This window comes from Homo sapiens, chromosome 4 (genome assembly GCF_000001405.40).
Source record: "Homo sapiens chromosome 4, GRCh38.p14 Primary Assembly".
NCBI lineage: Eukaryota > Metazoa > Chordata > Mammalia > Primates > Hominidae > Homo > Homo sapiens.
In genome coordinates, this window is record NC_000004.12 from 145,817,695 (window position 1) to 145,844,000 (window position 26,306).

The 26,306-nt window shown below is 42.2% G+C and overlaps 1 protein-coding gene across 18 annotated transcripts in view, besides 7 other annotated features; it reads right to left on the bottom strand.

Annotated features, from left to right (window-relative positions):
• Window positions 1-26,306, bottom strand: part of ZNF827 (zinc finger protein 827) — a 181,197-nt gene that overhangs the window by 60,068 nt on the left and 94,823 nt on the right. For all 18 annotated transcript variants that reach the window (XM_047449635.1, XM_017007768.3, XM_017007770.3 and 15 more), the window contains one exon: window positions 5,728-5,831. In XM_047449635.1, the coding sequence (XP_047305591.1) occupies window positions 5,728-5,831 (104 nt within the window). The remainder of the gene's footprint in view (window positions 1-5,727; window positions 5,832-26,306) is intronic.
• Window positions 6,387-6,446: an enhancer, noted in NCBI's record as "active region_21969". NCBI's record gives its function as "activates an Ori minimal core promoter by ATAC-STARR-seq in GM12878 lymphoblastoid cells {active_cell/tissue: GM12878}" and the evidence as "EXISTENCE:reporter gene assay evidence [ECO:0000049][PMID:35858748]".
• Window positions 7,571-8,139: an enhancer, noted in NCBI's record as "H3K27ac-H3K4me1 hESC enhancer chr4:146746417-146746985 (GRCh37/hg19 assembly coordinates)". NCBI's record gives its function as "activates a minimal SCP1, AML or CMV promoter by ChIP-STARR-seq in primed H9 embryonic stem cells {active_cell/tissue: H9 hESC(primed)}" and the evidence as "EXISTENCE:reporter gene assay evidence [ECO:0000049][PMID:30033119]".
• Window positions 14,687-15,458: an enhancer, noted in NCBI's record as "OCT4-NANOG-H3K27ac hESC enhancer chr4:146753533-146754304 (GRCh37/hg19 assembly coordinates)". NCBI's record gives its function as "activates a minimal SCP1, AML or CMV promoter by ChIP-STARR-seq in primed H9 embryonic stem cells {active_cell/tissue: H9 hESC(primed)}" and the evidence as "EXISTENCE:reporter gene assay evidence [ECO:0000049][PMID:30033119]".
• Window positions 18,031-18,555: an enhancer, noted in NCBI's record as "H3K27ac hESC enhancer chr4:146756877-146757401 (GRCh37/hg19 assembly coordinates)". NCBI's record gives its function as "activates a minimal SCP1, AML or CMV promoter by ChIP-STARR-seq in primed H9 embryonic stem cells {active_cell/tissue: H9 hESC(primed)}" and the evidence as "EXISTENCE:reporter gene assay evidence [ECO:0000049][PMID:30033119]".
• Window positions 18,556-19,079: an enhancer, noted in NCBI's record as "H3K27ac hESC enhancer chr4:146757402-146757925 (GRCh37/hg19 assembly coordinates)". NCBI's record gives its function as "activates a minimal SCP1, AML or CMV promoter by ChIP-STARR-seq in primed H9 embryonic stem cells {active_cell/tissue: H9 hESC(primed)}" and the evidence as "EXISTENCE:reporter gene assay evidence [ECO:0000049][PMID:30033119]".
• Window positions 20,128-20,652: an enhancer, noted in NCBI's record as "OCT4-NANOG-H3K27ac hESC enhancer chr4:146758974-146759498 (GRCh37/hg19 assembly coordinates)". NCBI's record gives its function as "activates a minimal SCP1, AML or CMV promoter by ChIP-STARR-seq in naive and primed H9 embryonic stem cells {active_cell/tissue: H9 hESC(naive and primed)}" and the evidence as "EXISTENCE:reporter gene assay evidence [ECO:0000049][PMID:30033119]".
• Window positions 20,653-21,176: an enhancer, noted in NCBI's record as "OCT4-NANOG-H3K27ac-H3K4me1 hESC enhancer chr4:146759499-146760022 (GRCh37/hg19 assembly coordinates)". NCBI's record gives its function as "activates a minimal SCP1, AML or CMV promoter by ChIP-STARR-seq in primed H9 embryonic stem cells {active_cell/tissue: H9 hESC(primed)}" and the evidence as "EXISTENCE:reporter gene assay evidence [ECO:0000049][PMID:30033119]".

A 26,306-nucleotide genomic window follows, 5' to 3' on the forward strand; every position in this document is an offset into this window, starting at 1 on the left:
ATATCAAGATGACAGAACTTTTAATACAGGGGATGTGCAAGGAGCTTGTAGACCTTCTCATCTCTTTCTATAGGAAACTGGGCTAGGACCAAACCCAAGTTCTCCTGATTCCCAGTCTAGAAATGTTTCTTCTATGCTGCTGACCAGATCATCACTAAACTCAGCAATACATATTTTATCTAACTGAGAGTTTTAACACAGCTTCATAAAACCATTTCTATGAACCAGATGATCCATTAAAAACTACTGACATCCTAACTGAAAGAAATGTTCCAAGTGACTATGATATTACTAGATATCAAAGCATTAAAGGAAGAGAGGAAAGATAGAAATAGAAGAGAATACAATTAGAATTCTGTTAATCAACAGTAAGTAATTATAAATTATTTCAAGTATCTTACTTAAAGGACTAATTTTTATTTCTAGCTAAAAGAAGACGGTGCATCAGTAATACTTAAAATGCCAACAGCTGCGGTAAATGTGGGCAACACTGGGAGGTGTGTTCCTTTTGGTCAGTGTCTGGTGACATATTATCTGACTTAGCAGGCAGCAAGATAGGGCAGAAAGAGAGAAAATGTGCTGTGCAGTTCTGGGTCTGAATTCCTGTGCTGCCCCTCCTCAACTGTATGACTTTGAACAAGTTATTAAATCTCTCTACACCTCCAGGTAGTAATTTGTAAATTGTGGATAATTCCTATGTCTCAATGAGTTGTTTCCAGAATTAAAAATGAGATGACATATGTCCTGTGCCTGACAATTTAATAGATCCTTGAAAACTGCTAGCTTCTTTCTCTGTACAAAATGAATTTGTCTCATCACAAAGGAGCTCAAGTTACAAAACGATATACACTAACATCCAATGTTCTATTGTTTATCTATGACTTTGTCTAAATTGAAAAAGAATCTGCTGTGTTTGAGAATGGACTGAAGAAAATAGTTTGCTATAATATAATCCAAGATAGATTTATACGTGTGTCTCTCTCTCGAGGCCTGAGTTGGGAAGTCTTAACACAAAGGAAGGTGACATGCACACATTGAGACGTATCTTTTTAAGCCAACGGTCTTAAAGAGGTCATTCACTTCTGACCAGGGGTGTGTCAGGCTGAGAGCTAGTTGCAGGTGGCATTCTAATACAAGGCATCATTTATTCAGATTTCAGGAAAGTATATGACACAGTATATTAGATTGATAGGCAGACCAGAGAAGGGAAAATGGATCAAGAACAAGACTGAGGACAAGGCAGGCAATTCCAAACCAGCCTTTTGATTGAACATCAAATTCTGACTGGCATAGCAGGTCCTGAAAGAAACTAAAACTTCCCCCTGCCTACCAAAAAAAGCTTGTTTTTGTGAGGGGTGCTGATGTTCATCTTTTCTTGTTTGTACATTATAAATAAAACCAACAACGTGAGTTTTTTTTTTTTTAAATGCAAGTTAGGGGAAATAATGAGGGAAGGGATTGATGAATATAATTGCAGATGTGCTTTACATTATCTCACTCCAGGCTGCATCTGAAATAACACACGGAAGCATCGGGGACTCCAAACACTCGGAGAGAATTCCACGGAGACCCACATTTTCCTTCACACCCGCCCTGGTTGTGTTTTTGTTTTTTGGCTTAATACAGAGCAAACATACTGTGACTTCAAATCATAATAACACAGAATGGAAGCTCCACGTTGTTTAAAAGCAGTACTGGGATATAAATTCTTCTCTTAACAGCCTTTGCTTACAGCAAGATGATGGGAAACAGGGACAGCTGCAGGTACAATGGCAATGGGTCTGCTTTTAATACAGAATCACCCACATGCCCTGAAAATCACCTGACCTCGGAATCTTTCTTCTATTGATGTAAATCTTGCACAAAGTGAAACAACTATAAATTAAATAAAGTACATTAAATTTCACGTAGTCTGTAATTTCTATCTCCCCCATGATAGGAAAGCTCTTTTATTTCTTTTGTAAAGTCACCAGCAGCAACATCACCACCCAGGGTACATTCAGTAATCTATTTATGGCTCTAAGGATATTCTGTCCCCACATCCCTCCCGCAGAAGGTGACAGCAGTTTTTAACTCATCATTTTATTAAAGATTCCTGATGCTACCTCTGCCTAAGACATTCGCAGCAAGTGAAAATGTTAGGTCTTGGCTAACATGAGCATTCTTTAGTTCTCAGGAAAGTCAGTCTAGAAATACTGGCAACAACCGCAGCCAGGACACCGTGAAGCTCTGTGTTTATTCTGTTTCTCTGGGACGGTGGCAGCTGTGAGTTTCAGATGCCATCTGCCGAAGGCAAATGCCTAGTTAACTGTGCTATTCTCGATCTCTTCACAGTCCACAGTTCTACCAACCTCTCTCTACTTTGCAATCCCCCTCACTGCTGGCTTCCTTCTCCAACAGGCCTGAAACACAAGCACAACACACTGAAGCTACCATGGATCCCCTTGGCCCAGCAGCTGTTACACCCTAAATGATATTCTCTTCTAGCACTTCCTTACCCTGTGGTCTTAATCTGAAGGCATCTGGACTCTTCTTCCTATTGGTAGAAGGTACATAACTATATACCAATGTTGTATATATTGTTGAAATAATGCTATGTATTTTCAGCATTTGCAAGGGAAATGGAACTAGGCACATTATATCTCATTAATTATGGTCTCTACTAATTGGGAATCTGAGAGAGTTCTCTGGGCTGACATTTATTTTTGCATTATCTGCTGAACAAAGACGTTTGCTAAGTAAATAAAAGGTAGAAAGTTTTTTAATGGTAGTGTTTAAACTACCTAAGAGAAGATTTCTAAAGATTCTGAGGCTTTCATTTGTACACTAACAACAAATTATTTTCTACCTAGTCACTAAAGCCAGCTGTCTCCTTTCTGGCTTCCCTATTTCTGCACAGCCACTATCATTTCCTAATTCAACGTGCTTATTAGCAAAGCTAACCAGTCTCCAACCAGCCAACTCATCCTCTGTCTGCTTTTCCCACCCCACTCCTCTTTTTCTCTCTAACTCAGGCCCTCATTAATAAAGCTGCCCTAGAACTAGAGGATCCCAGCTAGGCTCCTGTCATTTGCCCCCAATCCTCTCCAATGATTCACTAATCTGCTGCCGGATTGGTCTTTCAAAAATTTCTTTTCATTTTTTCCTTTCACACTCCAATCTTATTATCCCAGATGAAATGTTCTATAAGAACCCATGACTCTTATACTCCAGAACTTTAAGATCCTCAACTGTAGCTTCAGTGTTCTTGCTCCCAGCACTGCATTTAGCAGATTACTAAAATAAATGTAGATTCATAATATTTATCTGAACTCCCTGGGGCCAGATGTAATTTGGCATTCATACTTCTTTCTCATTTTAGGATCACAATATGGTGCATAAAACCTATTTTATGTAACAGCCCAGTGGACCTGAAGCAACACTTCATAGTCAAGTACATTCATAGTTCTTCAACAAAATGTATAAATTTCACCCCTTGTTGTAATAAATAAAGACAATAAATAAATAGCCTCCCATTAGGTTTTGCCACAAAATATTTATTCAAAAAAATTTTGGTGGGTGGGGTTTTTTGGATTTCAGAATTGTGATTAAGAGATTGAGAATGTATAGTAGGTATATTTATCCATGGCCATTTATCACTGTCCAGACTTGAAAGAAGTTAAGTTTTCTTTAAAAGTCTCCACACCGTTAACTTTGATTAATTCAGGCTGTTCTCCTCCACAATTAGTCCAAATTATTGAGGCCTTCCTTACAAAACTGTCTTCAGATTATGAGAACTTCATGACCACAAGGTTGTCCCTATCATTTTAAATTTTTTTCTAATTTTAACTCCATTCCCAAAGCATTTTCACCTTGCTTATTAAAACAAAAAAAGTCTTTTTTTTTTAGCTGCTTATTTTAACAAAATGTAAATGTAGTCATTTTGCTTTTCTCTACCTAAAGAAAGGTTTTGGTGAAGTAGGGTAGATTGATTATCTTTCAGCAGGGCGAATTTACATTTTAAAAATCTCAGTTATGCTGACCTTCTCCCCCAAATAAGAGTTAAGCTTTTAAAGTGTGAGTTCATCTAATGTCTAACGTAAGTTTATCAAGCAAATCACGGAAAACCCCCCGATGCACAGTTAAGCATATAATGAAATCACTCTTTAGGTCAAGTTTTAACTTGACCAATAAACCCTGCTTTAAATACTGCCAAGCCAAACATAAAGCCAGCAGTGCAAGGTTTGTATATATATCATGGGATGCTGGCCGTATGGGTCACAGCATTCTGACAGGCAATTCCTGGGCAGTTATTTTGACATTAGAAAGTCACAATCCATCAACTTAACAGCAGGGCAATAATTTTGGGACCAGGGAGATGGCTATTCAAAATGACACTGTGGGAAGTAAACAGTAGTTCCAAGAACCCCTGTTTGAGTATGAAGACATAAACTAGACAAAATTTCTTTCCACCTCTAGAACCAGCCATTATGTAATGTGTTTTTGTGTAAGCACATTATTTCTGGTGTTTGAATAGAAAAGCCCTGCCTGCAAAGCTAAAAAGCATGCAGGTATCTGGATTCTTTGGCTGAATGTGGGGAGATGAGAAGAAATGGAACTACCCTTATGAGACTCAAGAATGACAAAGAGTTGCCTTCCCCACCCCCACCCTCCACCCCAGTTTGTCACAAACTATTTCCAATGACCTGTGATACCCGAGGCCAATATTTCAGATGTCACTGCATTCTTTCTGCATTGCAAATTAATTAGTTCTCCAGTGCCCTGTAAAACAGGGCTCCTTGAGTATGTGGAGGAGACTTGGACTTTATTTTTGAAGAGGCTGCGGGGCCAACAACCCTGCTGTGAGTACTGCCCTGCACACAGGTGGCCACGGTTTCCTGGACAAATGAATGTGGATGGAGGCTACCGAGTGCTGCTGAGATCCTCTCCACAGCTGGGAGGGAAGGTAGCAACTGGCAGAAGTTTCCTGGCTGCTAGATTGGTGGTGGGCGGGGTGGGTATGGGTAGGGAGTATGAACTAGAGTGCAGCGGTTCTCAGATGTTCTCATTTCCCAATAACTCTGAGAACACACACATAAGCCCTCCAGGATGGCCATGCTGTGGATAAGGAACAGTAAGCACATCCTTCCTTCTACCCAGGAAAGGAGAAATGAAAAAAGGAAGAACGGATAAAAAATGATGTACTGATGGCTGAGATGGCAAAACAGAGCACTGGATGGATATATGTAGATACTATGGCCAAGAAGAGAGACAAAATCTGGGTGGCAAGGTTTCCTCAGTGAGCTGTCTCGTTTCCATGCAAACTGAGGTGGTCTTTGTGGTGGCCCACACCCCCTGGGGTCATGACCTGCCCTACTGGGGACTAGCACTCTTCGCCACTGCCCTCCCCTATATTCCTGGCTGCCGGCCTGAAATACAACATGTAAAGCAAATTATTTTCAGGTTATACTTCATTATTTTAAAGAAAAAGAAATTCATTATGTGGGTGAAATATCAGCAGGTAAAGAACAATAAGCTCTTAAAGCAAAGATGAAGAGGCTTATTACTGTAAACATTTTATTTTAATAAACTTTTGTAGCTTAAATTGAGTTTCTCCTTCTTTTCTAAAACCTAACCTTATATGAATAACTACATCCGTAAGCTGAAAGTATCTGAAAATTCACACATTTCAGAAAAGTAATTCTTAAGCAATCAACAGTAGAAGCAAAGCCAACAATGTTTCCATACCTGGAGCTGATATTCTTCCGTGCAGCACGGAGTCACTGGGCAGCAGTTCTTTTGAATTGGAGGTGAATGGTGATTGTCTAAATGTGTCTTCTGAAAAGAAAGGGCTGGGGTGGGGGAGGGGGAGTGAAGTTTAGTAAATTAAAGTTATTTAAGACACCCAGAGCACCTGGTCCCAAATACATATATACGCAATATTAGATAAGGTGTTGCTGTTTGCAACGGTGTTTAGTGAATATAAGAAGATTGTGCTTAAAATGGAGAAAAAGAAAAGTCATTACATCAGACAAGTGCCAGCTGTACCTTCTGCCTATGGGTTTTATATTTGGGGGGAATAAATGAAACATCATCTTTGAAACACTGTTAAACCCGTAGAGGAGGACAGCTGTGCAGTACATTTTCCTCTTGCTCTATTCTTTCTGTGTGTTGTGCCCTGCCTGGGTCAGAATCAGAAAGGGCCTGTCTGTGGTTTTCCCGGTAGAGATGGAATTGCCCTGGCTCACCCATATTCTGTCACCTGATCCCTCAGGGACCCACTACACACATCAAGACAGATGGCTGGGGCCAGGGACCAATACACTGAAGGAAACATGTCACTGGTCCCCACAGAAACGAAAACTGCAACTTGAAATTGTGTTGGTTCTGATGGAGTTAAAGTCAGAAAACGGGGCTGCCAGAAGGGACCCCAGGGAGCTCCCTCATTTAACATGAAAGAGAGGCCCTGACCTGAGTGATCCTAAGGTCCCCTAGTGACTCAGCTAGAACTAGAACTAGGGTCACCAGACATCCTGCCAGGGTTCCCTCTAAAACCATGACCACAGTGAACACAAAGGATTGAATGTTTTTAATTAGAGAACTCTAACTCGGTCACAGGGTCCATCTTCCAGGCCTCTAAAATAAAATGTGAATAAGTACTGCGATCACATATAAGAATACTGGAGTATCCATCAGTGTCCAACCTAGAAAATGGAAAGCCCTATTTATTTACAACAGACGAAATTCAACCATAGGAACTGGGTACCCAGACAGTGGAAGTTCCAGGGGGTAGTAACACAGCCCAGAGATAGGAAGGGCAGGAAGCCATTGCCACCCTGAGGCTGGAGGGACAAAAGGAGGAGATAAATGGAGCCCAGGTCATGGGAGCCGAAGCACCAGAGGAGATGCAGCTGCCATGGGAGACAGAGAGGGAGTGGTAGAATACCCAGGCTCTACCTTAATCCCCTCCCCCTACCTCTCACCAGTGCCTCTGATTGGCTGAACCTTCTGGAAGGCAGGGAAACGCAGCCAGGAGGGATCACTACCCCCCACCACTCCCCTGGGCAAAACAGCAGATCTGGAGCAGAACAACAGACCAAGCCTAGGACTCCCAGGACTAGCGCTGCTTTGCTAAACATGCCACAAGGCTATGGTTGCTATTATTCAATTTTAAAAAGAGAATGTTAAGATGAAAATGGAAGACACTTTCTTTAAAGTAAAACATACATTAATAGATAATATAGTTTTACATGACTGTGTTAGGCTAGATTTAACACAACTTTGTATGCCATGGTTTTTCTTTGTATCTTAAACACAAAACAATTTAAACAGGCTTAAAAAGTGAACACTGGCTATAGGCTAGTAGGAGGCAGGAATTGGGGAGAAGCGAAGGGGCAGATATGTCGCTTTCTACCAAACATCTCATAACCTGCAAGGGTGGCTAAGGCCGTGAAGGAGGGGACACAGTGTGACCACGGGGCCTGGCCAGGGAGCCCAGGAAGGGCCTTCCTGCAAAAGCCACCATGGGCGGGATGGACAGTAGGGTCATTAGGGTTTCAAGGAGCTGGGGAAGGCGGCCCCAGCACTGTGAGAAAGCCTGCAGAGCTGGAGGAAGGCCCATGGTAGAGGCAAATGAGTCTGGACCCTGTGTGCAGTGATCATGGCTTTGTCCCAACAGTAGTGAGGGCACTGCAGTGTCTTAAGTAAGGGGGTCAGGGAACTGGACTTCAGTTTCAGAAAGCTCCATGTGGCTGCAGCAGGCAGTGCGGCCTGGGGGACTTGCAGAAGACAAGGCGTGTGGCCAGTGCAGCAGTCCAGATGGGACGTGGTGATGCTGGTGGCCAATGTCGCCAGCCAGCAGCGACACTTGCAGGTCGAAGAAGAGTTTAAAGGAGAGGGCTGGTCAACACCACAGGTACATTTGAGAATAACCTTCACCTAGCTTTCTAGGTGAAGCGAGCAGAGGCTGCTGTGCTATGTGCTGGAAGTAGTCTTCTGGGTCTTGCTAAGTAGTGGCAATGGGCTAGCACTGCGTCTTCACATGCTGTCTTCAAAAGTGTGGATTCCTGCTGATGTGAGGAGTGGAGCCCTATTATCACTGAGCTGCTCAGAAGAAATTGAATTGAAAGGGAGACAATCACCGAGGGAAACAACATTCAAAATAATTTTCTACCCTGGATGCCAGCTTTATCCTGCATAGAAAAGAAAAGATTTCTTCTGAGGGAGCAGAGAATTAGAAGGGAGTCCTGCTGGATACTAAAAATGCACAAAAGGGCTGCCAATGTTTCTATCGGGCAAAGAATCAATGGAGAAACTTTCAGAAGGCAAGGCAGCTTAAGGCTGGTGTAAGTCTTAGCTACAGAGAGAAGATATTAGGTTAACAGGGAATCGGTCTCAGACCAAACACACAGCTGCCATGCTCTGCATTCGGATCCGTTCATGCCAGGAGATAGCAAGTGTGCTAGTTTTGCAGAGAGTTTGGAATCAGAAAAATTGGAGTCTGAATTTCATATTGGTTACTTCATAGTTAAGGGACCTTTGGACAATCAATAACCCCTCTAGCCTCAGTTTCGTCACTGAAAAAGAGGTTTAACAACGCCATCTTTTAGAGGGGTGCTGTAAGGGTTCAAATGAGATGTTTCATGTTAAAGTTCTCAGTACATAGTACATGCTCAATAAAAAACAGCAACAAACGCTAAGTATCTGGCACTGATTTAAGGTGCTTTGTGTGTATTAACTTCACTTGGTCCTCATAAGAACCCTATGAGAGTAGCCACCATTATTATAGTAGTCCCCCCTTACCCATGGTTTGGCTTTCTGTGATTTCAGTTATCCACAGTACAGTACAATAAGATATTTTGAGAGCGAGACCACATTCACATAACTCTTAATCCAGAATAAGAATAATGTTACACAGAATATTGTTATAATTGTCCTATTTTATTATTAGTTATTGTTGTTAATCTCTTACTATGCCTAATTTATAAATTAAACTTTACCATATGTATGCATAGGAAAAAGCATTGTGTATATAGGGTTCAGTACTATCTGAGGTTTCCGGCAACCACTGTGGGTCTTTTTTTCTTTTTTGAGACAGAGTTTTGCTCTTGTTGCCCAGGCTGGAGTGCAATGGCGCAATCTTGGCTCACTGCAACCTCCGCCTCCTGGGTTCAAGCAATTCTCCAGCCTCAGCCTCCCAAGTAGCTGGGATTACAGGCGTGTGCCACCACGCCCGACTAATTTTTGTATTCTTAGTAGAGATGGGATTTTGCCTTGTTGGCCAGGCTGGTCTCGATTTTCTGACCTCATGTGACCCACCTGCCTCGGCCTCCCAAAGTGCTGGGATTACAGGCATGAGCCACCACGCCCTGCCAACCACTGTGGGTCTTGAAACATATTCCCTGTGTGGATAAGGAGGGACTACTGCATTATCCCTATTTTACAGATGTGGAGACTTAGGCACAAAGAAGTTAGGTAGTTGCCCATGCCCATGAGTTGAGCATGATGGCTTCCCCATCTGCACTCTTTCCCGCTCAGCTACACTGCCTTTCGTTGGTCCGTTAACACCTAAGGAATTTATGGACAATAGAGACCCATGAATCCTTGCAACAAATGGAGAAAAGGAAGAGATAGAGAAGGGGGTGATGGAGGGGAGTAGGGACCAGTCGTTTCAGTATAAAGGTACTGAAGGAAGCTGAAAGACTTTTCTATTGAGAAATAGAGCAAGTAAAAATAATTTTTGTCTTTATTTCCCTATAGAAGTTAAGATATGCCCCAATTTCCTAAAACTTGTACCACTCATGGGCCTGGTCAATTTGCAACTCTAAACATTCGCCACTGCTGTACCTACAGCTTCCTAGAGCAAGCCTGTCTCTGCTATTAACTGTAAATGAAGAAGGAAGGGTAAAGAGGTCGTTAGCTGTTTGTAAGCTTCTATTTCGCCAAAGCTGTAAAGCACATGGTGGCACTATGGCTACATACACAACTGTGTATTAATCCTTCTGGTACCCAGATTAGCTTCATGCTTCAGGAAGGAGAAAAAACTAAACTTGCAGCATGCCCTATAGAGCAGAGCTTGCTTCATGGGATTAGATCTCCAATAACACTGGTTATCCTTAACTCTCTGCACAAGGAACTAAGAAAACAGAAGACACTCCATGTGTAACTTTGTCCCATGAAAGTTCATTTTCAGAATGCTGAAATCATATTCCGTAAGTTCTTTTTCTTCTCCTGTGCCAGTGACCGTAAAGTACAGAAGCACATCCGTTCTCAGGTGACACCCAGCTTTGCGGTGGAAAAAGCACTTCAGTAAGGGGTGGTGAGGCTGACACCTCGTTCATGCTGCTCAGTGACTGTCACTGTTGGCAGCGGGCAGCGGAGAGGCAAGTTCCAGGAGGTACCGGACACAGGATGAAGCGGGCTGCATCTTCCCAGGGAGTAAAACAATCCATGAAATGCACTGGACTTTACGACGTGCCCCGAAGCATGTTTGTACTGTCCTCCAACTGGTTACTTCAGCCAGTTACCAACTGTTCCAGAAAAGGAGCCAGTTTGTGAACACCATATAGCCCTTGCTTCTGAATCCTCAGCTGCCTAGACTTCAGTCATTTTATTATGAAAAAGCCCCTCCATCCAGAAAGTAAGCCAAGGAAGTGGAAAAAAGCAAGAAAAGAGGTTTATTTCTGGTTAATATTTTTGGTAAAAAGTTGATAGAGGAGGAGGTGGAAATTAACAGCTAATGGGGAGGGAATCATCACTTATTTTCACTCAACAAAATCATCATCTATCACAACATATTCCCTTTGGCCCGGGTCAAAGACAGGCTAGCTGGAAGACTTACATAATTCATAAATATTCAGTAACTCTTCAGTAGCAGCATCTGGAAGTTGATGGTATGGACATCAAAGAGCCCAAGCCCCCTGTTAATTTCCCTGGGTTTTGAAAATACAATCTTATAAAACTTTTATCTCCTTGAGTTTCTTTTCTGGATACAAGTGAAATGGCTGTGGAAAGTATATTTTGATTTTTCTCCTGTAGAAAATCTAAGGGCTAAGATATGAAGGGGCAGGGGTGTCATAGTGAGTGGACAATTCCAGGCCAGGCATGGGATGTGGGGTCAGCAGCACAGGGCTGAGAAAGGAAAAGACTTACAATAAATAATAAAAGTCCATAAAGGATTATGGCTCTAAATAGTGATACATTTTGCTAAGTGCCTATTGTGACACCAGTATTTCCACCTTTAACACCTGAGGGCCAACAGAGAGTTTTGTCTCATGCAGAAGAGAAGGCTCATCTACTTAAAATCAACCCTCCCCAAGTGCCACCACTGAAACCAAACGTTACAGGGATTCTCATTTTGACAGCAATAACAAAACCAAAAGAAAACAGAAAAGAAGGTGAGTACAGACTGTGAGAGAAAGTTTGGAAAAGACCTTCTTTGGTAATGACACAACAGTTTTAAAGGAGCAATAGAGAAGAAACAGATTTTTTTTCTAAGAGACAGTAACTTTCAAGACTAAACTTGGGAATGACAAATAGAAAAGAAAAAGATTAAATAAAGAAAGACTGCACTGTAATGAGTTTTTACTTGGAACTCAGAAGGGACTAGATAGATCAGGGTGGCATGAAATTCTATTAAATGTAAGAGTTTCTGGCAAATCATCCTAAAGTGACAGTCTGACTTCTATCTGCACAGAGACAAATTACCTTAGTAGATTTTTTTAAAATAGTGAATCTTAAAAAAAAAATTCTTCGGTGAATTAATCAAGTAAAAGTACTCGATTATCATATATTCAGCCATATATTATGTGACCTAACAGGGTTTACAGATTTCGAGAGCTGGATAAAACATGTCTGAAAGAATCTGGGGTAATTTTTAATTTTCTTTTGTGTTACTTTAAGGAAATTTTAAAAACAAGCTATCTGACTTAGATATATGTCTGAGAAACTATATGTTGCAAAAAGAGAGCTGGAAGTCCCAGCGTGGGGTACAACAGTTCTGTGGGAGCCAACGTGTTCTTTCTCTAACCACTACCTGCTCCCCAGCAGACCTCAGCCCCTGGGCCCCTCACCAGGTGGTTTTCTATCCCTCCTGGTAACAGTGTCTTCCTCTTCTCTACTCAGACCCAGTTGTTAAGCCACTGCAATACTGGTTTTCCATGTTGATACATCATGTTATTTTTTAAGAACTGAAATGCCACAGATGTGTCAGTATTTTAAAAACTCTGACCTTTGAATCACTTAGACCTTGAGAAACCCTCCAGGAGTTACACACGGCATTAACATTTTGAAGTGTACAGGAAGCAGTTAGTTGAGAAAATAGTTTTCCATGTTTCCAAAAGCCACGAGAAAAGGCAGGCAACAGATGAAAGTTATCTCAATAATTAATCTGACTTTAGTTCAAACATCTTTTGAATATGTGGAATATGCATGTTAGAGAATTAAAATGAATACAGGTAACTTGCATATGGGATCTCCATGTCTGTGTTTCATATAATGAAACTAAAGGAAATGAGAACAAACCGGAAATGTTTTCTTTGAACAAAAACTAGAGCTTGCTAATAATAACAGATTACAGGCCTTGCCAAAAGACAAAAAAAGTGTTTTTTTTTTAATGCTTCTTAAACATATCAAATAAGAAAGGTGGGTTTATTCAAAGATAAGGAATAAAGGAAATCTTTGTATTAGTTATAACTACCTCCTCAACATTTCCTCAAGTACTTTAAGGTGAGAAGACATTCTTCGAGAAGCTGGAATAGCTTACATGAAAATAAGGTCACAACTGAAAAACAAAAACACTTTATTTTTACATATTTCACTTTTTGAAAAGATCAAATAAGAATATTTCATTTTCAACTTAATTTTCATGATTAATGCCGTTTTCTTCACTTTTAGTGATTTTCTTTTTCTCAACTATTACTTCCTTTTATTAATTTATTTGCTAATAACTTAATAGACGCTTATATTTCTTTTCATATATTTATATATGTACATGTTGTATAACATATTTATAAGTAATTGTATTTGAAATATATTAAGTGCTTAGTTCTACATATTTTTGTAAAAAAATTTCGAACACTTTAAAAAATAAAATGCAAACACTCTATACAGTTGCATCAGTATCATGTGAAATATAGAAGAAAACCCTGACACAGTCCTTTTGTTCTGCAGTAGCAATCACTCTATGTGGCCTAGGACCATGTGTGGTCTTCCTAACTTCCTCATTTTCATTTTGAATGAGCAGTTGTAGAGCTGTTGCTTCTGAAATGTGCCCAGATATTAACATGTTACGTATAACAATCAGGGCCAGTTGTCTTACTAACATCCTTGCAGTCAATTGAAAAGGTAATCTATAATGAAAGAAAACACTTTTAATGGTACGCATGAACATTGCCCTTCCCTTTTCAATACCACAGAAATGAGGAACCCTGTTCCTAAAGATTTTATTTATTGTGACGAAAAGGACCCCGGATGGCAGGTTAGGGAATGTGGGGGTGGACAAGAGTGCCCAAGATTAAAAATGACTGTGAGTCTCAGCCCTGAAGGCAACCCTGACCATCTGAAAGAGAAAATTCTGTATTTGACCATACAAGGGACATAACAGGGACCTCCTGTGACCCCAGTGGGTTAGGCCTGAAAACTCGGTCATTGATCATGTTGGGCTCACACATTTTCAAAGAAAGAGGGGCAGTTGTGAATAAAACTTGGATTATTCCTATACATTGGCAAGCTTCAGCTGGGGCATTTATCTAAAAATCGAGGCTGGCATTGCAGATTCAGTGTGTTTCTAAATGGGCCTGTGGGCAGAGGGGACTCAAGGGTTCTCAATCACTCTACTAGCATATAGGCAGCAGATTTTCTTCTTTAATTTTTGGAGGTGACAAGGAAGCTAAGATGGGTTTCCTCTCCTCCAATTCCGTTGATGCGGCTGCATAACTTGGCTGTGGCCAATGAAACAGAAACTGTAGCAATTAAAAACTAAAGGTGTTGTTAATTTTGTAAGATGTGAACTAGCATCATGGAAAATCTCCTTACTTTTTAGAGATATATACCAAAGAATCTGGGAATGAATGTTTGATATCTGGGATGTGACTTAAAATGCAGGAGGAAAAAGGACGGGTAAACCAAGTGTGGCAAAATGTTGATACTTGTTCAATATGGGTGATGGGAATATAGTGATTCATTATTTTTTCTATTTTGGTTAAAAAATTTCATAATAATAAAAAATCAATAGCAACGACCAAACAAAAAATCCAACCCAGACAAGCCACCAAACAGAATAAGAAATGGCAGTAAAAGAAAATACAAGACTGTGCATGATGGCTCACTCCTGTAATCCCAGCACTTTGGGAGACCAAGGCAGGAGGATCACTTGAGCCCAGGAATTCAAGAACAGCTTGGGCAACATGGCAGAAACCCTGTCTCTACAAAAAAATACAAAAATTAGCCAAGTGTGGTGGTGCATGCCTGTAGTCCCAGCTACATGAGAGGCTGAGGTGGGAGGATCACTTGAGCCCAGGAGGTAGAGGCTGCAGTGAGTGGAGATTGTGCCACTGCACTCCAGCCTGGGCGACAGGGCAAGACCTCGTCTCAAAAAAACAAACAAACAAACAAAAAACAAAACAAAACCACACACACACACACACACACACACACACACACAGAGCAAATACAAATGTCTCCCCATGAACAAAATGCTTAAGAGCACTAGGAATCAATAAATCAAAGACTTTAAATGGAAGATATAATTTTTCACCCTCCAATCATTAAAAAAATTTTAATGATAAGCACAGAGTTGATCGGGCCTTTGAAATATTCTCTGTCTCCCTCTGTCTCTGTCTCTCATGAAAACTGTTAGAACTGCAGATTCAATCTTCTTAAAAGTCATTTTGACAATTGGTACCAATAGCCTGAAAAATGTGAATACTGTTTTGAGTCATGTCAGGCCTCTGAGCCCAAGCCAAGCCATCGCATCCCCTGTGACTTGCACGTATATGCCTAGATGGCCTGAAGTAACTGAAGAATCACAAAAGAAGTGAATATGCCCTGCCCCACCTTAACTGATGACATTCCACCACAAAAGAAGTGTAAATGGCCGGTCCTTGCCTTAACTGATGACATTACCTTGTGTGCGACCCCCACTCCTGCCTGCCAGAGAACAAACCCCCTTTGACTGTAATTTTCCTTTACCTACCCAAATCCTATAAAACGGCCCCACCCTTATCTCCCTTTGCTGACTCTCTTTTCGGACTCAGCCCACCTGCACCCAGGTGAAATAAACAACCATGTTGCTCACACAAGGCCTGTTTGGTGGTCTCTTCACACGGACGTGCATGAAATTTGGTGCCGTGACTCGGATCGGGGGACCTCCCTTGGGAGATCAATCCCCTGTCCTCCTGTTCTTTGCTCCGTGAGAAAGATCCACCTACGACCTCAGGTCCTCAGACCGACCAGCCCAAGAAACATCTCACCAATTTCAAATCCGGTAAGCGGCCTCTTTTTACTCTCTTCTCCAACCTCCCTCACTATCCCTCAACCTCTTTCTCCTTTCAATCTTGGCGCCACAATTCAATCTCTCCCTTCTCTTAATTTCAATTCCTTTCATTTTCTGGTAGAGACAAAGGAGACACGTTTTATCCGTGGACCCAAAACTCTGGCGCCAGTCACGGACTGGGAAGGCAGCCTTCCCTTGGTGTTTAATCATTGCAGGGCTGCCTCTCTGATTATTCACCCACGTTTCAAAGGTGTCAGACCACGCAGGGACGCCTGCCTTAGTCCTTCACCCTTAGTGGCAAGTCCCGCTTTCCTGGGGCAGGGGCAAGTACCCCAACCCCTTCTCTCCGTGTCTCTACCCCTTCTCTGCTTTTCTGGAAGAGGGGCAAGTACCACTCAACCCCTTCTCCTTCACCCTTAGCGGCAAGTCCCGCTTTTCTACGGGGCAAGAACCCCCAATCCCTTATTTCTGCACCCCAACCTCTTATCTCTGTGCCCCAATCCCTTATTTACGCACCCCAACCTCGTATCTCTGTGCCCCAATCCCTTATTTCCGTGCCCCAACCTCTTATATCTCTGCACCCCAATCCCTTATTTCTGCACCCCAACCTCTTTTATCTCTGTGCCCCAATCCCTTATTTCCATGCCCCGACCTCTTATTTCTGCGCCCCATCCCTTATTTCCATGCCCTGACCTCTTATCTCTGCGCCCCAACCTCTTATCTCTGTGCCCCAACCCCTTTTCCCACTTTTCTGGAAGGTAAGAACCCCCGAACCCCTTCCCTCCATTTCTCTACTCTCTCTTTTCTCTAGGCTTGCTTCCTTCACTATGGGCAACCTTCCACCCTCCATTCCTCCTTCTACTCCCTTGGCCTGTGTTCTCAAAAACTTAAAACCTCTTCAACTTACACCTGACCTAAAACCTAAATGCCTTATTTTCTTCTGCAATGCCGCTTGACCCCAATACAAACTCGACAGTAGTTCCAAATAGCCAGAAAATGGCACTTTGAATTTTTCCATCCTGCAAGATCTAAATAATTCTTGTCGTAAAATAGGCAAACGGTCTGAGGTGCCTGACATCCAGGCATTCTTTTACACATCAGTCCCTTCCTAGTCTCTGTGCCCAGTGCAACTTGTCCCAAATCTTCCTTCTTTCCCTCCCGCCTGTCCCCTCAGTATTAACCCCAAGCGTCGCTGAGTCTTTCTAATCTTCCTTTTCTACAGACCCATCTGACCTCTCCCTTCCTCCCCAGGCTGCTCTTCGCCAGGCCGAGCTAGGTCCCAATTCTTCCTCAGCCTCTGCTCCTCCACCCTATATAATCTTTTTATCACCTCCCCTCCTCACACCTGGTCCGGCTTACAGTTTCGTTCCGTGACTAGCCCTCCCCATCCTGCCCAGCAATTTACTCTTAAAAAGGTGGCTGGAGCTAAAGGCATAGTCAAGGTTAATGCTCCTTTTTCTTTATCCCAAATCAGATAGCGTTTAGGCTCTTTTTCATCAAATATAAAAATCCAGCCCAGTTCATGACTCGTTTGGCAGCAACCCTGAGACACTTTACAGCCCTAGACCCTAAAAGGTCAAAAGGCCGTCTTATTCTCAAAATACATTTTATTACCCAATCTGCTACCGACATTAAATAAAACTCCAAAAATTAAATTCCGGCCCTGAAACCCCACAACAGGATTTAATTAACCTCGCCTTCAAGGTGTACAATAATAGAAAAAAGTTGCAATTCCTTGCCTCCACTGTGAGACAAACCCCAGCCACATCTCCAGCACATAAGAACTTCCAAACGCCTGAACCGCAGCGGCCAGGCGTTCCTCCAGAACCTCCTCCCACAGGAGCTTGCTACACGTGCCGGAAATCTGGCCACTGGGCCAAGGAATGCCCGCAGCCTGGGATTCCTCCTAAGCTACGTCCCATCTGTGTGGGACCCCACTGAAAATCGGACTGTTCAACTCACCTAGCAGCCACTCCCAGAGCCCCTGGAACTCTAGCCCAAGGCTCTCTGACTGACTCCTTCCCAGATCTTCTCGGCTTAGCGGCTGAAGACTGACACTGCCCGATCGCCTCAGAAGCCCCCTAGACCATCACGGATGCTGAGCTTCGGGTAACTCTCACAGTGGAAGGTAAGCCCGTCCCCTTCTTAATCAATTCGGAGGCTACCCACTCTACATTACCTTCTTTTCAAGGGCCTGTTTCCCTTGCCTCCATAACTGTTGTGGGTATTGACAGCCAGGCTTCTAAACCTCTTAAAACTCCCCAACTCTGGTGCCAACTTAGACAACACTCTTTTAAGCACTCCTTTTTAGTTATCCCCACCTGCCCAGTTCCCTTATTAGGCTGAGACACTTTAACTAAATTATCTGCTTCCCTGACTATTCCTGGACTACAGCAATATCTCATTGCCGCCCTTCTTCCCAATCCAAAGCCTCCTTTGCGTCCTCCTCTTGTATCCCCCCACCTTAACCCACAAGTATAAGATACCTCTACTCCCTCCTTGGCGACCGATCATGCACCCCTTACCATCTCATTAAAACCTAATCACCCTTACCCCACTCAACGCCAGTATCCCATCCCGCAGCACGCTTTAAAAGGATTAGAGCCTGTTATCACTCACCTGCTACAGCATGGCCTTTTAAAGACTATAAACTCTCCTTACAATACCCCCATTTTACCTGTCCTAAAACCAGACAAGCCTTTACAAGTTAGTTCAGGATCTGCGCCTTATCAACCAAATTGTTTTGCCTATCCACCCCGTGGTGCCAAACCCATATACTCTCCTATCCTCAATACCTGCCTCTACAACCCATTAGTCTGTTCTAGATCTCAAACATGCTTTCTTTACTATTCCTTTGCACCCTTCATCCCAGCCTCTCTTCGCTTTCACTTGGACTGACCCTGACACTCATCAAGCTCAGCAAATTACCTAGGCTGTACTGCCGCAAAGCTTCACAGACAGCCCCCGTTACTTCAATCAAGCCCAAATTTCTTCCTCATCTGTTACCTATCTCGGCATAATTCTCATAAAAACACACGTGCTCTCCCTGCCAATCGTGTCCAACTGATCTCTCAAACCCAAGCACCTTCTACAAAACAACTCCTTTCCTTCCTAGGCATGGTTAGCGCGGTCAGAATTCTTACACAAGAGCCAGGACCACACCCTGTAGCCTTTCTGGCCAAACAACTTGACCTTACTGTTTTAGCCTAGCCCTCGTGTCTGCGTGCAGTGGCTGCTGCTGCTTTAATACTTTTAGAGGCCCTCAAAATCACAAACTATGCTCAACTCACTCTCTACAGTTCTCATAACTTCCAAAATGTATTGTCTTCCTCATACCTGACGCATATACTTTCTGCTCCCCGGCTCCTTCAGCTGTACTCACTCTTTGTTGAGTCTCCCACAATTACCATTGTTCCTGGCTCGGACTTCAATCCGGCCTCCCACATTATTCCTGATACCACACCTGACCCCCATGACTGTATCTCTCTGATCCACCTGACATTCACCCCATTTCCCCAAATTTCCTTCTTTCCTGTTCCTCACCCTGATCACGCTTGATTTATTGATGGCGGTTCCACCAGGCCTAATCGCCACACACCAGCAAAGGCAGGTTATGCTATAGTACAAGCCACTAGCCCGCCTCTTAGAACCTCTCATTTCCTTTCCATCGTGGAAATCTATCCTCAAGGAAATAACTTCTCAGTGTTCCATCTGCTATTCTGCTACTCCTCAGGGATTATTCAGGCACCCTCCCTTCCCTACACATCAAGCTCGAGGATTTGCCCCACCTAGTACTGGTAAATTAGCTTTACTCAACATGCCCTGAGTCAGATAACTAAAATACCTCTTAGTCTAGGTAGATACTTTCACTGGATAGGTAGAGGCCTTTCCTACAGGGTCTGAGAAGGCCACCGCAGTCATTTCTTCCCTTCTGTCAGACATAATTCCTCAGTTTAGCCTTCCCACCTCAATACAGTCTGATAACAGACGAGCCTTTATTAGTCAAATCAGCCAAGCAGTTTTTCAGGCTCTTAGTATTCAGTGAAACCTTTATATCCCTTATGGTCCTCCGTCTTCAAGAAAAGTAGAATGGACTAAAGTAAAGGTCTTTTAAAACACACCTCACCAAGCTCAGCCACCAACTTAAAAAGGACTGGACAATACTTTTACCACTTTCCCTTCTCAGAATTCAGGCCTGTCCTCAGAATGCTACAGGGTACAGCCCATTTAAGCTCCTGTATAGACGCTCCTTTTTATTAGGCCCCAGTCTCATTCCAGACACCAGACCAACTTAGACTGTGCCCCCCACCAAAAAAAAACTTGTCATCCCTACTATTTTCTGTCTAGTCATACTCCTATTCACCGTTCTCAACTACTCATACATGCCCTGCTCTTGTTTACACTGCCGGTTTACACTGTTTTTCCAAGGCATCACAGCTGATATCTCCTGGTGCTATCCCCAAACTGCCACTCTAAACTCTTGAAGTAAATAAATAATCTTTGCTGGCAGGACTATGCCGAATCTCCTTAAGCACTCTCTAATCAGATATCCTGAGTCATCCCAATTCTTAGACCTTTTATACCTGTTTTTCTCCTTCTGTTATTCCATTTAGCTTTTCAATTCATACAAAACCGTATCCAGGCCATCACCAATCATTCTATACGACAAATGTTTCTTCTAACATCCCCACAATATCACCCCTTACAAGACCTCCCTTCAGCTTAATCTCTCCCACTCTAGGTTCCCACGCCGCCCCTAATCCCGCTTGAAGCAGCCCTGAGAAACATCGCCCATTCTCTCTCCATACCACCCCCCAAAAATTTTCGCCACCCCAACACTTCAACACTATTTTGTTTTATTTTTCTTATTAATATAAGAAGGCAGGAATGTCAGGCCTCTGAGCCCAAGCCAAACCATCACATCCCCTGTGACTTGCACGTATATGCCCAGATGGCCTGAAGTAACTGAAGAATCACAAAAGAAGTGAATATGCCCAGCCCCACCTTAACTGATGACATTCCACCACAAAAGAAGTGTAAATGGCTGGTCCTTGCCTTAACTGATGACATTACCTTGTGAAAGTCCTTTTCCTGGCTCATCCTGGCTCAAAAGCACCCCCACTGAGCACCTTGCGACCCCCACTCCTGCCCGCCAGAGAACAAAACCCCTTTGACTGTAATTTTCTTTTACCTACCCAAAACCTATAAAACGGCCCCACCCTTAACTCCCTTCGCTGACTCTTTTCGGACTCAGCCCACCTGCACCCAGGTGAAATAAACAGCCATGTCGCTCACACAAAGCCTGCTTGGTGGTCTCTTCACAGGGACGCGCATGAAAAGTCATTTTATCCCACCATTGTTTATATTAACAATTTTTTGGGGGGGGACCCTTGATATTCAATAACAAGGGACTGATTAAATAAATTATAACACAGGCAAACCTGAATACTATGCAAACATTAAAAGAATAACATTGAGAATGTCCATGGAAAAATGGACAATCTTATATATTGTTAGGTGAAAACAGAAGATTATAAAACTGTATATGTAGTAGGACTCAGTTATAAATGAAAAAAAATCCAGCAAGGATACACACCACCAACTTAGCAGTGGCTGTCTCTAGGTAGTAGGACTAAAAATACATTTTCTTTATGTGCTCCTATATTATCTGGAAATAAGTTACTTTTAAAAGTTAAAAACAACCATTAAATTTTACTGTTTAGTATCTTTTACTTTTGAAAAGACTCGGTCTTTTAAAGAGAAAGCTCTGAGGGACAATTGTAAAAGACACAGGCAGAAACAACTACATCTCAATTATGACCCTCAGTATCAGTCTGCTTCAGTTTCAGAAGTCTGAAAGCTATGGAAGGAAGAGGTTGTATGCAATATTGTAGAAGAAAAATACAGCATCTTAGGAACATATACGTATTTTTCATGTTTAGTATTTTCTTCTTTGAAAAGTATAAATGCCTCCTATTTCAGATTGTCTTACAGGTGGGCCAGTATGTACAACCTAACACTGAGTTTTCAAGGAACAAGTTTCTGTTGCTGCTGCTCTAGCATTCATGCACTGTGGAGCCCGGAAACTTCTCGGGACAAGGAGCACAATGCCAGGCCTTGTCGAGGGCCGCTGCAGTGGAGAGGCCAGACCGGGGGTGCCAGAGCCAACCGCAGACCAAGGAAGTGAACCCTGCACATCCGGATACTTGAAATGTCAGCTTGTGGAGGATCTCCCGCAGGAATCTGACTTTATACACAAACAAAGACATTGAGCTTTCTGCTGAGGTGAGCTCAGAACGGATGAACTTAGTCTTCTCTGCAGTGATGCAAGCCTCTGTCATGTGGAAGTTACAGACGATGCTAGTGAAATGTGGATGGTCTCCTGGCCCACTGCATCATGCAAGAGGGCTGCTTTACAGAGGCCAACCCTTGAAAGACTTGATATATTTCTACTAACAATCATGAAGACACTCTTCAGAGAAAATTCCAGATAAGAACAGCATCTAAGCCTCACCTACTTTTTGGTTATATCATTCTTGCATAACCTGCCAAAGGCAGCTAGAGGGGAACACAGTCTCTGGATGTCCACTGACAGAGACTTACCAATTTACACTTCATTCCTGACTATTAGGAGTTATAAAAACGAGAGAATACTATTGCAAGCCAGTAGAAATAAAGATGGGAGTGTCCATGGGAAATGAAAAGAAAGGCACAGCCCTCTTCAGATCCTGAAAAGGAGATTTAAATTTGCCTCTTAAGAGTAACACAACACAGAACCATTCTGGAAGCATATCGTTCCAATATAACATTTCGGTATAGATGTCACGAAGGGAGGAAAAATGGTAGAGAGCAAATATCTATAGGACAATGGAGTAGAGGAATAGAACAAAGTACTGAGAAAGGGCTTGGTGAAATGGGAAGGAAAAACAAATCCAAATGGCAACAATGCACAAAGTAATTTCAGGCTCTGTGTGTGTGTATCTCCATTGTTTTCAAGGATCAGTTTTAATTTCTTTGAAAAATAGAAGCTCAAAGATAAGTAGCAAAGAATGTATTGCCAATGAAAAGACTCTCAAGTCCGCATGTGTGTCAGGGCAGCTGCAGATAGTGGTGTAGGCTGTGCACTGCACAAAAGCACCACATCTAGAGGGGCATGATTAACGTCACAGACATCAGATTTATTGTGACAATATTCCAGTAGATGGCAGTGTACTAAGGGAGGGAGTCTTTTTAAAATGTACAATGGCACCATGAGGCCCCAAAACAGCCTTGACTTCACCAAAAAGAAATGAATGTCCTAACTGAAGGGACTCTGTGAAATTAGTAGCAATTTCCATTCTTTGGAAATAGAATGCTCATTGCATTTAATTTTAAAGTCACAACATGTAAAGGGTAAAGAGAATATATGGAGACCTCCTTAGATATCAATTTCATTTGCTCTGTTTCTGGTTTCTTTTCTTAATTGCTTCTGTCTAATTCAGTGTTCTCTAAAAGTAATATTTTACTTTTTAAGGTAATATAGCATTATTCTTTTATTCCTTCCAAAGAACTAAAAAGGGAAAATTGTGCGAATTGAGGCAACACATCATGCTTTTACAAATTTGTGCAATTTCTATTACTGAATCATAAATATTTAAGGACACGCATCCGAACCATCACAAAGGAAAATTTTACATTGGATGATTCCAAGTGAATATGTCTTTTAGTAAACACTATGTGCCATTATCTAAATCACAGAAAAATAGCCTGCATTTCAAATTCTGAAAATTGGGCAAATTAAATATTGGTCTGCACAGCACGATATGAGTCTATCTTTCTCTGATTTTCCCACTTCTGCTTTTTGTCTAGTAATGGAGAAAAGAACAATTCAGGCAAACTCTTCCTTGCTTTTGGAACAAAGCAAGCCAGGTGTGAGAAAGTATTTGTTATAGGCCTGCAATTTTATACCCCCATGGACACTGAATTATTAATGGAGAAAAGAGAGAACAAATAACCAAGAGAGGGTTCTTGGCAGCCATTGTTTGAAGTTCATGGTGTTACACAACATTGAGCATGTCCAATTCACCTGCCAGGAGCTATCTGATTCTTACTCTAGGGTTCCATTTTCCTATCTCGATCTTATCCAGCATCTGGCTGGGTGATGGTCCATGTCAAAGGATGTAGATCTTCTTTTTATTCCATTAAACTTTGAGATCTGATTATGATATCATGCCTCATGTATTTTCATCTACCAAATGATCATAATAGCTAGTTATCTGCTCCCTGTAGAACCTAGGCTTGTGCTGGGAAAGGAAATAGAAAAATCAGGATTTTATTAGTCTGAAATGTTTGGTCCTTCTGTTCTCATGGGTCTGGCCGGGACTCTCTCCTCATCTCATTTGTCAGATAGAGTGGCATTAACAACACTCAGTCCACACACTATCTCAAAGGAGACCCACAGCCTTCTTTACACTTGCATTGAATTTTCTAGACTCTGAGGTTAAACAAGGAAAAAGACTGCTGTTTTAGCATTTACGGTGAAGTTGCATCTAAAGGACTGATTCAATGGGAAGTGCCCCGATGAGGACACAAACAAGGGTGGAGGGACAAGGTTAAGGCACTGGTGAGCAGGACCACATGATTCAATCATTCAAGCTGCTAAGTAGATTGATTTTTCTGCCTGGCTACACGGTGTGCCTTGGTGGATTGTTTTTCTCCTTTACTTTTGGGAAGATTATCCTAATTTAAGCAGCTGAGTTTAAGTTCTTAGGATAAAAAAAAAAAACAAAACAAAAAAATGGCATTCTCAAACCAGTTCTTAAAATGATGTCTGGGATTTGCTTCAAAATAATCTACAGGGAGGGGGAAGTAGAGGAGGGAGATAGATAAAACATCATAAATCATTAATTGATGATTGTTGGATTGGATGACAGATACTTCTGTATATGTTTGAAATTTTCCATTATAAGAGTTTTTAAAAATGAGGTAGAGATCCAGTGATCCAGAAACTTGGTAGTTATTAGTTTCAACCTTTAGCTTCACCTAAACCCCTTTAAAAAAATTGCCAGCAAAGAATACTGTCTCCCATTATTTTCACTCTCCTTATCTACCTTTCGTATAACAGAGGTATCAACAAGGGGCAGAGCTGCCACTGGACAGGTGTGAGGAGGGAGGATTTGATGGTGAGGAAAGTGCAGTCACCAACCCATACGGGATGGAGAGTTAACAGCACACATCCGTGGACTTCGTGTTCTCTTGGTGCAGGACACGGGCATCAGCACTCCCATGACTCACTGGCAAGCACATATTGGAATGCCAAGCTACAGAGTGTTTCCTCTTGGGCTGCTACACTTTTCCTTAGTCTTGTGGTTGAAATGAGCATCGAGATAAATAACGATAAACAATTGTGAGGGAAGCTGTGGGTTTATAAGAGGCAGGGATAGAGTCAGCTCCTTTCTTCAGTTTTGTGTCTCTTCTCCCTACCTCATGTCCTTGGATATCCAGATCCTAGGATCAGGAGATGGCAAGGAGTGGAGGAGCGTAGGCATTCATCAGCATGAGAAAGGCAAGGGAAGGTTTGATCTCAGTGCTGTGCTCAGGCCTGCCCTTTACAAACGAAACTACCTTAAATATACCTAGCTATTCTCAAAGTGCGAAAAATTCTGAACTTGATTCCAATCATGAACCGTCCTTCTGAATGATCAGTTTCTTCTAGGAAATCAAACACAGAAGATATGATTACTAAATAAACACTCCATTAGTACTTAAAAATCTGAAGATACAGAAATTCAGAGGTTTGATGTAAATCTTTTTGAAATGTATTACAAATCACACCTTAAAGCATAATCCACACACTGATCTTGTACCTGCAGAGTAAGAGTTCCTTCTAAAACAGGAGTCAGGAAAGAAGAAAGAAAATTGGCATTTTTTTTTCTGTTCCTGATATCAGTTAACTCAGGTTAAAGAGGATTTCTTGGCATAAAAATTTTATTCTATTCCACCTGAAGTAATAAGGCGAGAGGTAAAAAAGAGATCTATTTATGGATAGGCTAATCAAGTAAGCTGCCTCTACTCAAAGGAAAAAAAAAAAAACCACACCGAGGACTTTGTAGAACTATAAGCCAAGAATTCTTTAACACTGATTTCTAAACACCATATCATGCCGGGAGCTCACAGGAAGAACCTCTTCCTTTGCTTTGGGCAAAAGATCTAATTCGGATTTCCTCTTACTCATAATCTCCCAGAAAGAGGAGAATTTAAGGATTGCATCATTTTTGCCAAATGGTTAAAAAAATTTTTTTTCTCTTCTATCCTATAATCATGCTTCAGCTCCAGCCAAGGCAGTTTAGGCTTGAGGCACATTAAAATCTTTGTATGGGGCCAACTTGGGGCCTCCTCTTACCTCTTCCTAGAGAACACCTAAAGAGCATAAAATAATATGGTCTTGCAGCACATCTTTTTGTTGTATAAATATTATGTAATCTTAAAGAGCCCTCAGAAACCTCCATAGATCATGCTAGTGGGGTCCTGCCCAGATCCTCCCTCTGGCACGAATGCACCTACCCCGGAGTTTGCGTAAGTGTTGCCTGATAACTATAAGTGAGAACCGCTGTCCCCATTGGAACCCCCTAACATGGGAGGTTATACATCCCCTGCAGGGGATTACTTGAAGCTAGTGAACCTTCCTGGGGGATGCAGCTGAAGTTAGTTAGAAACCAGCTAAAACCACATCCTTCCTCTCAGCTCCTTCTCCTTCTCTTTCCTCCGTCTTCTGCCCCCATCACCTCCTTGCAGGTTCCTCTGAGAGCATTCCCTCAATAAAGCACTTCCACGAGAATCTCCATCTCTAGGGGAC